Genomic DNA, 13,506 nt, shown 5'->3' on the forward strand with positions numbered 1-13,506 from the left:
TGAAAACAAATGTAATTAATTACATAATTTTGAACTATTTAGATTGAATTCTTCTCAAGTTACATCATCACTCTCATGATAGAAATAAAGGATTGAATTAATTCTCTGCCTTTGCTTGACTTACATCTGAAATTTATGCCTAGTAGTTGTACACACCACAGATTTTCTTTAAAAATGTTTTTTTATTTTTAATTTTTATGGGTACATAATAGATATATATATTCATGGAGTACATGAGATATTTTGCTACGGGCATACAGTGTGTAATAATCACATCACTGGCAAATTGGGTATCCATCACCTTAAGCAATTACCCTTTCTTTGTGTGATAAACAATCCAATTATATTATTTTAGTTATCTTAAAATGTACAATTAAATTATTGACTATAGTCCTTCTGTTGTGCTATCAAATATCAGATCTTAGTCATTCTTTCTATCTTAGTACCCATTAACCATCTCTACTCCCCTCCCCCAACTATCTTTCCCAGCCTCTAGTAACAATCCTTCTATTTTCTGTCCACATTATTTTACTTGTCTTAATTTTTAGCTCCCACAAGTAAGTGAGAACATGTGGAGTTTGTCTTTCTGTGCCTGGCTTATTTCACTTAATGAGCTCCAGTTCATCCATGCTGTTGCAAATGACAGGATCTCATTCTTTTTTTTTATGGCTGCATAGTACTCTATTGTGTATATGTGCCACATTTTCCTCATCCATTCATCTGTTGATAGACAGCTAGGTTGCTTCTGAATCTTGGCTATTGTGAATAGTGCTGCAATAAACATGGGAGTGCCGATATCTCTTCAATATACTGATTTCCTTTATTTGGGGTATATACCTAGGAGTGGAATTGCTGGATCATATGGTAGCTCTATTTTTAGTTTTTTGAGGAACCTCCCGTCTGTTCTCCATAGTGGTTGGATGAATTTACATTCCCATGAATAGTGTACAAGGATTCCCTTTTCACCACTTCCTTGCCAGCATTTGTTATTGCCTGTCTTTTGGATATAAGCCATTTTAACTGAGGCAAGATGATATCTCATTGCAGTTTTGATTTGCATTTCTCTGATGATAAATGATGTTGAGCACCTTTTAATATACCTGTTTGCCATTTGTATGTCTTCTTTTGAGAAATGTCTATTTAGATCTTTTGCCCATTTTTTGATCAGATTATTAAATTTTTCTCTGATAGAATTGTTTGAACTCCTTATATATTCTGGCTATTAGTCCCTTGTCAGATGAATAGTTTGCAAATATTTTCTCCCATTCTGTGGGTTGTTTCTTCACTTTGTTGATTGTTTCTTTTGCTGTGCAGAAGCTTTTTAACTTGATGTAATCCCATTTGTCAATTTTTGCTTTGGTTTCCTGTGCTTGTGGAGTATCACTCACAAAATCTTTGCCCAGTGCAATGTCCTGGAGAGTTTTCTCAAATTTTTTTTGTAGTAGGAGTTTCATGGTTTGAGGTCTTATATTTATGTCTTTAGTTCACTTTGGCTTTATTTTTGTATATGATGAAAGAGAGGGGTCCAGTCTCATTCCTCAGCATATAGCTATACAGTTTTCCTAGCACCATTTATTGAAGAGACTGTCTTTTGCCCAATGTAAATTTTTGGCATCTTTGTAAAGAATGAATGCACTATGGATGTGTGGATTTGTTTCTGGGTTTTCTATTCTGTTCCACTGGTCTATATGTCTATTTTTATGCCAGTACCATGCTATTTTGGTTACTATACCTCTGTAGTATAACTTAAAGTCAGGTAATATGATTTCTCCAGTTTTGTTCTTTTTGCATAGGATAGCTTTGGCTATTCTGGGTCTTCAGTGGTTTCATACACATTTTAGGATTGTTTTTTCCATTTCTGTGAAGAATGTCATTTTTAAAATCGGGATTGGATTGAATCTGTTGATTGTTTGGGGTAATATGGACATTTTAGCAATATTGATTCTTCCAATCTATGAATATAGAATATCTTTTCATTTTTGGGGTGTTCTCTTCAATTTCTTTCATCAATGCTTTGTAGTTTTCATTGTAGAGATCTTTCACTTCTTTGGTTCAATTAATTCCTAGGTACTTAATTTTATTTTACTGGTATTACTTTCTTGATTTCTTTTTCAGATTGTTTCCCATTGGCATATAGACATGCTATTGGTTTTTGCACATTGATTCTGTATTCTGCAACTTTACTGAATTTGTTTATTAGTTCTAAGAGTTTTCCTGTAGATGCTTTAGGATTTTCCAAATATAAGGTCATGTCATCTGCAAACAATGATAATTTGACTTCTTCCTTTCCAATTTGGATGCCTTTATTTCTTTCTCTTGTCTGATTGCTGTAGCTAAGACTTCTAGTACTATGTTGAATAACAGTGGTGAAAAAAGGCATTCCTGTTGGCTCCAGATCTTACAGGAAAGGCTTTCAGTTTTTCCCCATTCAGCATGATACTAGGTGTGAGTCTGTCATATATGGCTTTTATTATGTTGAGATATGTTCTTTCTACATCCAGTTTTTTGACAGTTTTTTATCATGAACTTTATCAAATGCTTTTTCAGCATCAATTCAAATGATCACATGGTGGTTTTTGTCCTTCATTCTGCCGATATGATGCATCACATTGATTGATTTGCGTATGTTGAACCATCCTTGCATCCCTGGGATCAATCCCACTTGCCTGCAATGAATGATCATTTTAATATGTTGTTAAATTCAGTTTGCTGGTATTTTGTTGAGGATTTTTGCATCAATATTTGTCATGGATAATGGCCTTTCATTTTCTTTTTTCGATGTGTCTTTATCTGGTTTTTCTATCAGTATAATACTGGCCTCATAGAATGAGTTTGGAAGTATTCTCTCCTGCTCTATTTTTTGGAATAGTTGGAGTAGGATTGATTTTAGTTCTTCATTAAATGTTTGGTACAATTCAACAGTGAAGCTATCAGGTCCTGGGCTTTTCTTTACTGGGATATTTTTGTTTATTACAGCTTTGATTTCCTTACTTGTTATTAGTCTCTTCACATATTGGATTTGTTCATGGCCCAATCTTGGTAAGTTGTATGTGTCTAGGAATTTACCCATTTCTTTTAGGTTTTTCTTATTGGCATATAATTGCTCATAGTAGCCTCTAACAGTCTTTTGAATTTCTGCAATATCAACTGTAATGTCTCCTTTTTCATTTCTGATCTTAATTTATTTGGGTCTTCTCTCTTTTTTTCTTAGTTATTCTGGCTAAAGATTTGTCAATTTTATTTTTCTTTTCAAATAACCAACTTTTCATTTCATTGATCTTTTGTATTTTCTTCATTTCAATTTCATGTATTTCTGCTCTGATCTCTATTATTTATCTTCTTCTACTGATGTTTGATTTTTCTCTTGCTCTTCTAATTCTTTAAGATGCATTATTAGGTTGTTTATTTGAAGTTTTACACTTTTTTTGATGTAGACACTTAATAGTTATAAACTCTCCTCTTAGTAGTCCTTTTGCTATATCCCACAGGTTTCGATACATTGTATTTCCATTAATATTTGTTTCAAGAAATTTTTCAATTTTCTTTTTTAATTTCTTCATTGACCCACTGGTCATTCAGGAGCATATTATTTAATTTCTATGTATTTGTATAGTTTTCAAAATTCCTCCTATTATTGATTTCCATTTTTATTCCATGTGGTCAGAGAAGATACTTGATATTATTTCAAATTTTTGAGTGTTTTAAGACTTGCTTTGTGGCCTAACATATGGTCTATACTTGAGAACAATCCATTTGCTGAGGAGAAGAATGTGTATTCTGCAGCAGTTGGATGAAATATTCTGTAAATATCTATTAGGTCCATTTGGTCAATAGTGCAGATTAAGACTGATGTTTCTTTGTTGATTTTTCTGTCTGGGATGTCTGTCCAATGCTGAAAGTGGGGTGTTGAAGTCTCCAGCTATTACTGTATTTGGGCATATCTCTCTTTTTAACTCTAATAATATTTGCTTTATCTATCTGGGTGCTCCAGTGTTGGATGAATATATATTTACAATCATTATATCTTCTTGCTGAATTGACCAGTTTATCATTATTACCTTCTTTGCCTGTTTTTATAGTTTTTGTCTTGAAATCTATTTAGTATGATATAAGTATAGCTACTCTATAGCTACTCCTGCTCATTTTTGGTTTCCATTTGCATGAAATATTATTTTCCATCCCTTTATTTTCAGCCTATGTGTGTCTTTATAGGTGAAATGTATTTCTTGTCGGAAACAGATCACGCAGTGTTTTAAAAATTCATTTAGGTACTCTATGTCCTTTGGAGAGTTTAGTTCATTTATATTCAATGTTATTATTGATAAGTAAGGACTTACTCTTGCCCTTTTGTTATTTGTTTTCTGGTTGTTTTGTAGTCTCCTCTTCCTTCTTTCCCTCCTGTCTTCCTTTTGGGGAAGGTGATTGTCTCTGGTTGTATGTTTTAATTTCTTTAATTTTTATCAGTTCATCTTTTAGTCTTTCTATTCTACCTATATGTAGTTTTTACACCACAATTACAGTGTTATACTATTCTGTGTTTTTCTGTATACTTACTATTACCAGTGAGTTTTCTTTTTTTTTTTTTATTATACTTTAAGTTTTAGGGTACATGTGCACATTGTGCAGGTTAGTTACATATGTATACATGTGCCATGCTGGTGCGCACCCACTAACTTGTCATTTAGCATTAGGTATATCTCCCAGTGCTATCCCTCCCCCCCCTCCCCCAACCCCACCACAGTCCCCAGAGTGTGATATTCCCCTTCCTGTGTCCATGTGATCTCTACAAGACTGCAACAAACACAGCATTACTACGGTCTATCAATTTTGTTGATCCTTTCAAAAAACCAGCTCCTGGATTCATTAATTTTTTGAAGGGTTTTTTGTGTCTCTATTTCCTACAGTTCTGCTCTGATTTTAATTATTTCTTGCCTTCTGCTAGCTTTTGAATGTGTTTGCTCTTGCTTTTCTAGTTCTTTTAATTGTGATGTTAGGGTGTCAATTTTAGATCTTTCCTGCTTTCTCTTGTGGGCATTTAGTGCTATAAATTTCCCTCTACACACTGCTTTGAATGTGTCCCAGAGATTCTGGTATGTTGTGTCTTTGTTCTCGTTGGTTTCAAAGAACATCTTTATTTCTGTCTTCATTTCGTTATGTACCCAGTAGTCATTCAGGAGCAGGTTGTTCAGTTTCCATGTAGTTGAGTGGTTTTGAGTGAGATTCTTAATCCTGAGTTCTAGTTTGATTGCACTGTGGTCTGAGAGATAGTTTGTTATAATCTCTGTTCTTTTACATTTGCTGAGGAGAGCTTTACTTCCAAGTATGTGGTCAATTTTGGAATAGGTGTGGTGTGGTGCTGAAAAAAATGTATATTCTGTTGATTTGGGGTGGAGAGTTCTGTAGATGTCTATTAGGTCCGCTTGGTGCAGAGCTGAGTTCAATTCCTGGGTATCCTTGTTGACTTTCTGTCTCGTTGATCTGTCTAATGTTGACAGTGGGGTGTTAAAGTCTCCCATTATTAATGTGTGGGAGTCTAAGTCTCTTTGTAGGTCACTCAGGACTGGCTTTATGAATCTTGGTGCTCCTGTATTGGGTGCATATATATTTAGGATAGTTAGCTCTTCTTGTTGAATTGATCCCTTTACCATTATGTAATGGCCTTCTTTGTCTCTTTTGATCTTTGTTGGTTTAAAGTCTGTTTTATCAGAGACTAGGATTGCAACCCCTGCCTTTTTTTGTTTTCCATTTGCTTGGTAGATCTTCCTCCATCCTTTTATTTTGAGCCTATGTGTGTCTCTGCACGTGAGATGGGTTTCCTGAATATAGCACACTGATGGGTCTTGACTCTTTATCCAATTTGCCAGTCTGTGTCTTTTAATTGGAGCATTTAGTCCATTTACATTTAAAGTTAATATTGTTATGTGTGAATTTGAACCTGACATTATGATGTTAGCTGGTTATTTTGCTCGTTAGTTGATGCAGTTTCTTCCTAGTCTCGATGGTCTTTACATTTTGGCATGATTTTGCAGCGGCTGGTACCGGTTGTTCCTTTCCATGTTTAGCGCTTCCTTCAGGAGCTCTTTTAGGGCAGGCCTGGTGGTGACAAAATCTTTCAGCATTTGCTTGTCTGTAAAGTATTTTATTTCTCCTTCACTTATGAAGCTTAGTTTGGCTGGATATGAAATTCTGGGTTGAAAATTCTTTTCTTTAAGAATGTTGAATATTGGTCCCCACTCTCTTCTGGCTTGTAGAGTTTCTGCCGAGAGATCCGCTGTTAGTCTGATGGGCTTCACTTTGAGGGTAACCCGACCTTTCTCTCTGGCTGCCCTTAACATTTTTTCCTTCATTTCAACTTTGGTGAATCTGACAATTATGTGTCTTGGTGTTGATCTTCTCGAGGAGTATCTTTGTGGCGTTCTCTGTATTTCCCGAATCTGAACGTTGGCCTGCCTTGCTAGATTGGGGAAGTTCTCCTGGATAATATCCTGCAGAGTGTTTTCCAACTTGGTTCCATTCTCCCCATCACTTTCAGGTACACCAATCAGACGTAGATTTGGTCTTTTCACATAGTCCCATATTTCTTGGAGGCTTTGCTCATTTCTTTATATTCTTTTTTCTCTAAACTTCCCTTCTCGCTTCATTTCATTCATTTCATCTTCCGTTGCTGATACCCTTTCTTCCAGTTGATCGCATCGGCTCCTGAGGCTTCTGCATTCTTCACGTAGTTCTCGAGCCTTGGTTTTCAGCTCCATCTGCTCCTTTAAGCACTTCTCTGTATTGGTTATTCTAGTTATACATTCTTCTAAATTTTTTTCAAAGTTTTCAACTTCTTTGCCTTTGGTTTGAATGTCCTCCTGTAGCTCAGAGTAATTTGATCGTCTGAAGCCTCCTTCTCTCAGCTCGTCAAAGTCATTCTCCATCCAGCTTTGTTCCGTTGCTGGTGAGGAACTGCGTTCCTTTGGAGGAGGAGAGGCGCTCTGCGTTTTAGAGTTTCCCGTTTTTCTGTTCTGTTTTTTCCCCATCTTTGTGGTTTTATCTACTTTTGGTCTTTGATGATGGTGATGTACAGATGGGTTTTCGGTGTAGATGTCCTTTCTGGTTGTTAGTTTTCCTTCTAACAGACAGGACCCTCAGCTGCAGGTCTGTTGGAGTACCCTGCCGTGTGAGGTGTCAGTGTGCCCCTGCTGGGGGGTGCCTCCCAGTTAGGCTGCTCGGGGGTCAGGGGTCAGGGACCCACTTGAGGAGGCAGTCTGCCAGTTCTCAGATCTCCAGCTGCGTGCTGGGAGAACCACTGCTCTCTTCAAAGCTGTCAGACAGGGACATTTAAGTCTGCAGAGGTTACTGCTGTCTTTTTGTTTGTCTGTGCCCTGCCCCCAGAGGTGGAGCCTACAGAGGCAGGCAGGCCTCCTTGAGCTGTGGTGGGCTGGGCCCAGTTGGAGCTTCCCGGCTGCTTTGTTTACCTAATCAAGCCTGGGCAATGGCGGGCGCCCCTCCCCCAGCCTCGCTGCCGCCTTGCAGTTTGATCTCAGGCTGCTGTGCTAGCAATCAGCGAGACTCCGTGGGCGTAGGACTCTCCGAGCCAGGTGACGGATATAATCTCGTGGTGCGCCGTTTTTTAAGCCCGCCGGAAAAGCGCAGTATTCGGGTGGGAGTGACCCGATTTTCCAGGTGTGTCCGTCACCCTTTTCTTTGACTCGGAAAGGGAACTCCCTGACCCCTTGCGCTTCCCAAGTGAGGCAATGCCTTGCCCTGCTTCGGCTCGCGCACGGTGCGCGCACCCACTGACCTGCGCCCACTGTCTGGCACTCCCTAGTGAGATGAACCCGGTACCTCAGATGCAAATCCAGAAATCACCCGTCTTCTGCGTCGCTCACGCTGGGAGCTGTAGACCGGAGCTGTTCCTATTCGGCCATCTTGGCTCCTCCAAAAAATACCAGTGAGTTTTCTACCTTTAGATAATTTCTTATTGCTCAATAAAATCCTTTTTTTTTTTTTTTTTTTTTTTAGATTAAAGAACTCTCTTTAGTATTTCTTGTGGGACAGGTTTGGTGTTGTTGAAATCCCTCAGCCTTTGTTTGTCTGGGAAAGTCTGTATTTCCCTTTCATGTTTGAAGGATATTTTCACCCAATATACTATTGTAGGGTAAAATTATTTATCTTCAGCACTTTAAATATGTCATACCACTCTCTCCTGGCCTGTATGGTTTCTATTAAAAAGTCTGCTGCCAGACGTATTAAAGCTCCATTGTATGTTGTTTTTTTTTTCTCTGCCTGCTTTTAGGATCCTTTCTTTATCTTTGACCTTTGGGAGATCGATTATTAAATACCTTGAGGTGGTTTTCTTTGGGCTAAATCTGTTTGGTGTTCTATAACTTTCTTTTACTTGGCTATTGATATCTTTCTCTAGGTTTGGAAAGTTCTTTGTTTTTATCCCTTTGGATAAACTTTCTTCCCGTATCTCTCTCTCCCTCCTCTTTAAGGCCAGTATCTGTTAGATTTGCCCTTTTGAGGCTCTTTTCTAGAGTTTGTGGGCATGCTTCATTGTTTTTTTATTTTTTTTATTTTCTCTTCTCTCCTCTGTCTGTGTATTTTCAAATAGCTTGTATTCAAGCTCACTAATTTTTTTTCTGCTTGATCAATTCTGCTATTAAGAGACTGATGCATTCTTCAAGATGTCAATTGCATTTTTAACTCCAGAATTTCTGATTTATTCTTTTTAATTATTTCAATCTCTTTGTTAAATTTATCTGATAGAATTCTGCATTCCTTCTCCGGGTCATCTTGAATTTGTTTCCTCAAAACATCTTTTTTGAATTATCTGAAAGGTCACATGTCTCTGTCTCTATAGATTGTTCCCTGGTGACTTATTTAGTTCATTTTGTGAGGTTATATTTTCCTAGATGATCTTGATGCTTGTGGATGTTCATCTGTGTCTGGGCATTGAAGAGTTAGATATTTATGGTAGTCTTCACAGTCTGGGCTTGTTTGTACCCATCCTTGTTAGGAAGGCTTTCCAGGTATTTGAAGGGAGTTTGGTGTTGTGATCTTTTTGGTCACTGCAGCCATATCCTCATTAGGGGACTCCCCAAGTCCAGTAATGCTGTATTTGTTGCAGTCTTGTAGAGGCACCACCTTGGTGATCTTGGATAAGATCCAGAAGAATTCTCTGGATTACTAGGCAGAGACTCTTATTCTCTTCCCTAAGTTTTTCCCAAATAACCAGAGTCTCTCTTTCTGTGCTGAGCTTCTTGGAGCTAGGGGGAGGGGTGACACAAGCACCCCTGTGGCCACCACCACTGCAACTCTGCTAGGTCAGACCTGAAGCCAACATAGCACTGGATCTCACTAAAGGCCGTTGTAGCCACTATATGGCTACTGCTTATGTTTGCTCAAGGTCCTGGGTCTCTACAATCAGCAGGTGGCAAAGCCAGACAGTCTTGTGTCCTTCCCTTCAGGGTAGAAAGTTCCCCCTGGCCCCAGGTGGGCCCAGAAATGCTGTCTGGGACCTAGGGCCTGGAGTTGGAAACCTTAAGAATCTACCAGGTGCTCTATTCTAATGCAGCTGAGCTGGCACCCATGTCCTAAGATGAAGTCCTTCCCACTCTTGCCCTTGCTTTCCATTAGCAGTGGGGAGTCTTTCCTTATGGCCACCCCCACTACAAGTCTGTGGGGAGTATTGCCAGGCTACCACTGAATATCACTTAGGGCCCAAGGGCTCTTTGGTCAGCTTGTTGTAAATGCTTTCAGGCCTAACAGACTCACTCTTCAGGGTAGTGGGCTCCCCTCTGGCCCAAGGCAGGTGTAGAAATACAATCCAAGAGCCAAGGCATGGAATCAGGGACCCCAAGAGCCCACTTGACACTCTATCCCACTGTGGCTGAGCTGGCACCTAAGCTGCAAGACAAGGTCCCCTTTACTCTTCTCTTTGCTTTTCTCCAGCAGGTGTCTCTTTCTGTAGCCACCACACTGGGAATGTGCTGGGTCACACCTGAAGCCAGCACATCTCTGAGTCTCATCCAAGGCCCATGGTGAGTACCACCTGGCTACCACTGCTGACTCTTTAGTCAGCAGGTAATGGATCTTGCCAGGACTAGGTCCTTCCCTTCAAAGCAGCAGGTTCCCTTCTTGCCTAGGGTATGTCTAGAAATGTCATCTGGGAGCGAGGGCCTGGAATGGGTGCCTCAGGACTCTGCCTGATGTCCTATCCTACTGTGACTGAGCTTGTATCCAAGTTGAAAGACAAAATCTTCTCTACTCTTCCCTTTCCTTTCCTTGAGCAGAAGAAAAAATCTTTTGGAGCTGCCAGCTACACTACCTGAGGCTGGAGAAAAGGTGGCACAAGCACTCTCTTGGCTGCCTCACCTGGTGTTTCACTAGGTTATGTGCCCCCTAAGTCCACTGACTCCAAGCCTAGCACAGCACTAGGACCTCCCTAGGAGTTGCAGTCCTTGTGGCCTAGACTTCAAGTTTATTTAGAACCCCAGAGCCATTTAGCCTGTCGTGGCGAGGCTTGCCAAAACCTAAGTTTTGACCACTGGGATGGACGATTCTCTTCTGGCTAGGGCTAGCCTAAATGGTCCCTCTGTAGGTGTCTGCAGAGTTCTGCCTGGTGTTGCTTTCTGCTGTGACTGGGCAGAACTGAGTTCTATTGCAAAGTCCCACAGTCACTGTGCTCTCCCTCCCACAAGTACAAAGATTCTCTATGCCGTGCGGCTGCTACTGGGAGATGGGGGAGTGGTGTTGTTGGTAATACAGGATTATTTTTCCTACCATCTTCAGTGTCTCTTTCAGTGATGTCAAGTTAAAACCAGGTGCTGTGATTGCTCAACTGGTTTTTGATTCTTATGATGGTGCTGCACATCTTATGATGTGTAGATAGTTGTTAAATTTGGTGTTCTTGCGAGGGGGACAATCGGTAGAGGCTTCTATTTGGCCATCTTGCTCTGACTCTGCATGAATTTTCTAATTCATTTCTTACCAGTCAGTAATCCCTGTGGTCTGTAAATATATGCATATTGGATCTCTGACCTAAAAAATGCCTACTAGAGTACTTGGCACAGAGTAGGTGCTGTAAGTATTTGATAGATAATGAATGAATGCATTGAATGAATGAAAACAATGCAGATATTTATTTACTGGCAAGTTATTTTCTTTCCTTATATGCAGCAGAAAGTGACCTAGCAGTATAATAAGGCACTGTGGTAAAATGGAATGAAGATTGAGCTTATTGGCTCTGTTAGGGCCAATTTGATCGTTGTACATTGTAGGCCAGTGTCTATATACCATGAGCATTTCAAAGATCTAAAAACATTTGAGAACTGAAAAAAGTAATTTATTTAACCATTCCTTTATTGGATGTTAATTTTGCTTCATAGTCTCTTGTTATTAGATATGAGGCTGAAGAGATTAACTTTGTACATAGTCATTTTGTATGGGTACCAGTGTATCTCTAGGATAAATATCTAGATGAGAAAATGCCAGGTCAGTGGTCTTATGAATTTTTAATTTTGATAGCTATTACCAAATTGCTTTCCATAAGTTTATTAACTTACATTTCTACCAGCACTATATGAGATTGCCTATTTCCCCATAGCCTTACCAACAGAGGGTATTATTAAATTTTGAAGTTTTGCTAGCCTGATACATGGATGCTCTATATTTTAGGAATTCATGGCCTTGTTATGGGAAAAGCACTGTCTGTCTGTCTGTATTTATTTATTTATTTATTTATTTATTTATTTATGTTTTTGCTTTATGGTTACAAAATGAATCTGAGGAAGACGTTAGAAAAAGAAAAACATTTATTTTTCTTATTAATGAATTTATTTATATATATGCCTCATTGTTCCAAAAAAATCTGAATCTGAGGATACTTATAAAAGATTTATAATAATATAGGATAAAACATAAAAAGATAAAAAAAATTGGGTAAAGAGAAAAAGTGGGTGTGGAATTCTGATAAAGGTTTGGTCACTATACAAATGCTTACATCATTAGGTTCCATATAGTTGCTGAAGAAGTATTATAAATGTGACTGTGAGTTCCCTGGCAGCCAATGTAAAGGTGGAAATTTGGTTAGTTTTAAGAGTCACAGTGACTATAATACTAATAATAAATCAGCTGTTTAGGAGAAGTACAACTTTTTTCTTTTGCTAGAATGTTCTCCCCCCTTTTCTATGTGGCCAATTCCTATCAAATAGGAATCTAACTCTCAATGAATCCTTCCTTGATTAATCTATGTACTTTGCTGTTTCTTTGCTCCCACAGATCTTTGTACGAATCTCAGTTCTAACACTTGTTATGTTCACTTGGAGGTACAGCTTATTGGCTCAACAAACGGGCTTTGGAGTCATATGCTTGAGTTCACATTCCAATTACGTCTTTCATGGACTGCTGACTTTAGTCATTTTACATAACCCATGGGCATGTAACATGAGCAAGAAAATAAATGTCTATGTAACTTTTCTAAGTTCATGTTTCCTCAATTGTAAAGTGGGACTACTAGTAGTATCTGCCTTAAAAAGACTGATGTGAAGATTAAATGAGGTTATGTGGGTAGAACACTTAATACTTTGCTAATTAATGTGGTAAACGATCATAAGTAATAGCTGCAATGGTTTTATGTCTATCATCCTAACAAGCTACTTACACTATCTGCTCTCTAGGTTCTTGCAGGTGAATACAACCTTTAACAGCTACATGATATTCTTTGAATTGCTAATATTGGATTCATCTGGAAGAAATACTAAAATCTAAATTTAAGGAAATGAAAAAATTTCACAGGGCCTGAATTTCCATTCAGGACCTATCCCTTGAGGTTGGCATTTTCACAGCTGTGGCCAGATGGCAATCTTCTCTATTTCAGGGGAGGTGAATCAGAAGATTCTAAATGTCAGTTTGCTTTCAGATGCAGTCTTGGAAGGAAGACCTTTGCAATCAATGAACGTGTTTCTATAGTATAATATCAAGCCCACGTAGATTGGTTTGTCTTGCATACATAGTCATTAACACCTATGGTATCTCAGTTTAATCAGTTATGATTTCACAATAGCTAAGGGATGCATAAGCTTATCAGCCAGTTTTCATGTTTACTTTTAATGATATTAATTGACATTCCAAAACTCTAAGGTGAAGGAGCCTTCTAAAATTCCTTCTCTGACAGATGTCCCAGGGCCCTCATGTATTAGTCAAGATGAGCTAGGTTACACTGCAGTAACAAACAATCTTAGAATCTCAGTGACTTCTTGTTCATGTTACATATCTGTGAGTTTTCAGGTGGCCCTTCTCATCATATTTACTCAGGGATCCAGGCTGACAAGTGCTTCCATGATTACCATGGCAGGGGAAAGCAAAACAAAACAAAAACAAAAACAAACACAAAAACAGGGTGAATGGCATACCGACTATTAATCCTTCTGTCTAGAAACGATACTCGTCACTGCCATGAACATTTCATTGGCCAAAGAAAGTCAAATGGCTAACATTAAAAAGGGAATTGTACCTGAA

At 38.7% G+C, this 13,506-nt stretch overlaps 5 annotated features.

The window, feature by feature from the left end:
- Window positions 6,840–7,570: an enhancer, noted in NCBI's record as "OCT4-NANOG-H3K27ac-H3K4me1 hESC enhancer chr3:17901798-17902528 (GRCh37/hg19 assembly coordinates)". NCBI's record gives its function as "activates a minimal SCP1, AML or CMV promoter by ChIP-STARR-seq in primed H9 embryonic stem cells {active_cell/tissue: H9 hESC(primed)}" and the evidence as "EXISTENCE:reporter gene assay evidence [ECO:0000049][PMID:30033119]".
- Window positions 6,840–8,300: a biological region, named in NCBI's record as "OCT4-NANOG-H3K27ac-H3K4me1 hESC enhancers GRCh37_chr3:17901798-17902528 and GRCh37_chr3:17902529-17903258".
- Window positions 7,451–7,745: an enhancer, noted in NCBI's record as "tiled region #9685; HepG2 Activating non-DNase unmatched - State 24:Quies, and K562 Activating DNase unmatched - State 18:Pol2". NCBI's record gives its function as "activates a minimal TATA promoter and a strong SV40 promoter by Sharpr-MPRA in HepG2 and K562 cells {active_cell/tissue: HepG2 | K562}" and the evidence as "EXISTENCE:reporter gene assay evidence [ECO:0000049][PMID:27701403]".
- Window positions 7,571–8,300: an enhancer, noted in NCBI's record as "OCT4-NANOG-H3K27ac-H3K4me1 hESC enhancer chr3:17902529-17903258 (GRCh37/hg19 assembly coordinates)". NCBI's record gives its function as "activates a minimal SCP1, AML or CMV promoter by ChIP-STARR-seq in primed H9 embryonic stem cells {active_cell/tissue: H9 hESC(primed)}" and the evidence as "EXISTENCE:reporter gene assay evidence [ECO:0000049][PMID:30033119]".
- Window positions 7,905–7,954: an enhancer, noted in NCBI's record as "active region_19574". NCBI's record gives its function as "activates an Ori minimal core promoter by ATAC-STARR-seq in GM12878 lymphoblastoid cells {active_cell/tissue: GM12878}" and the evidence as "EXISTENCE:reporter gene assay evidence [ECO:0000049][PMID:35858748]".

Source organism: Homo sapiens, chromosome 3 (genome assembly GCF_000001405.40).
Source record: "Homo sapiens chromosome 3, GRCh38.p14 Primary Assembly".
Classification (NCBI taxonomy): Eukaryota; Metazoa; Chordata; class Mammalia; order Primates; family Hominidae; genus Homo; species Homo sapiens.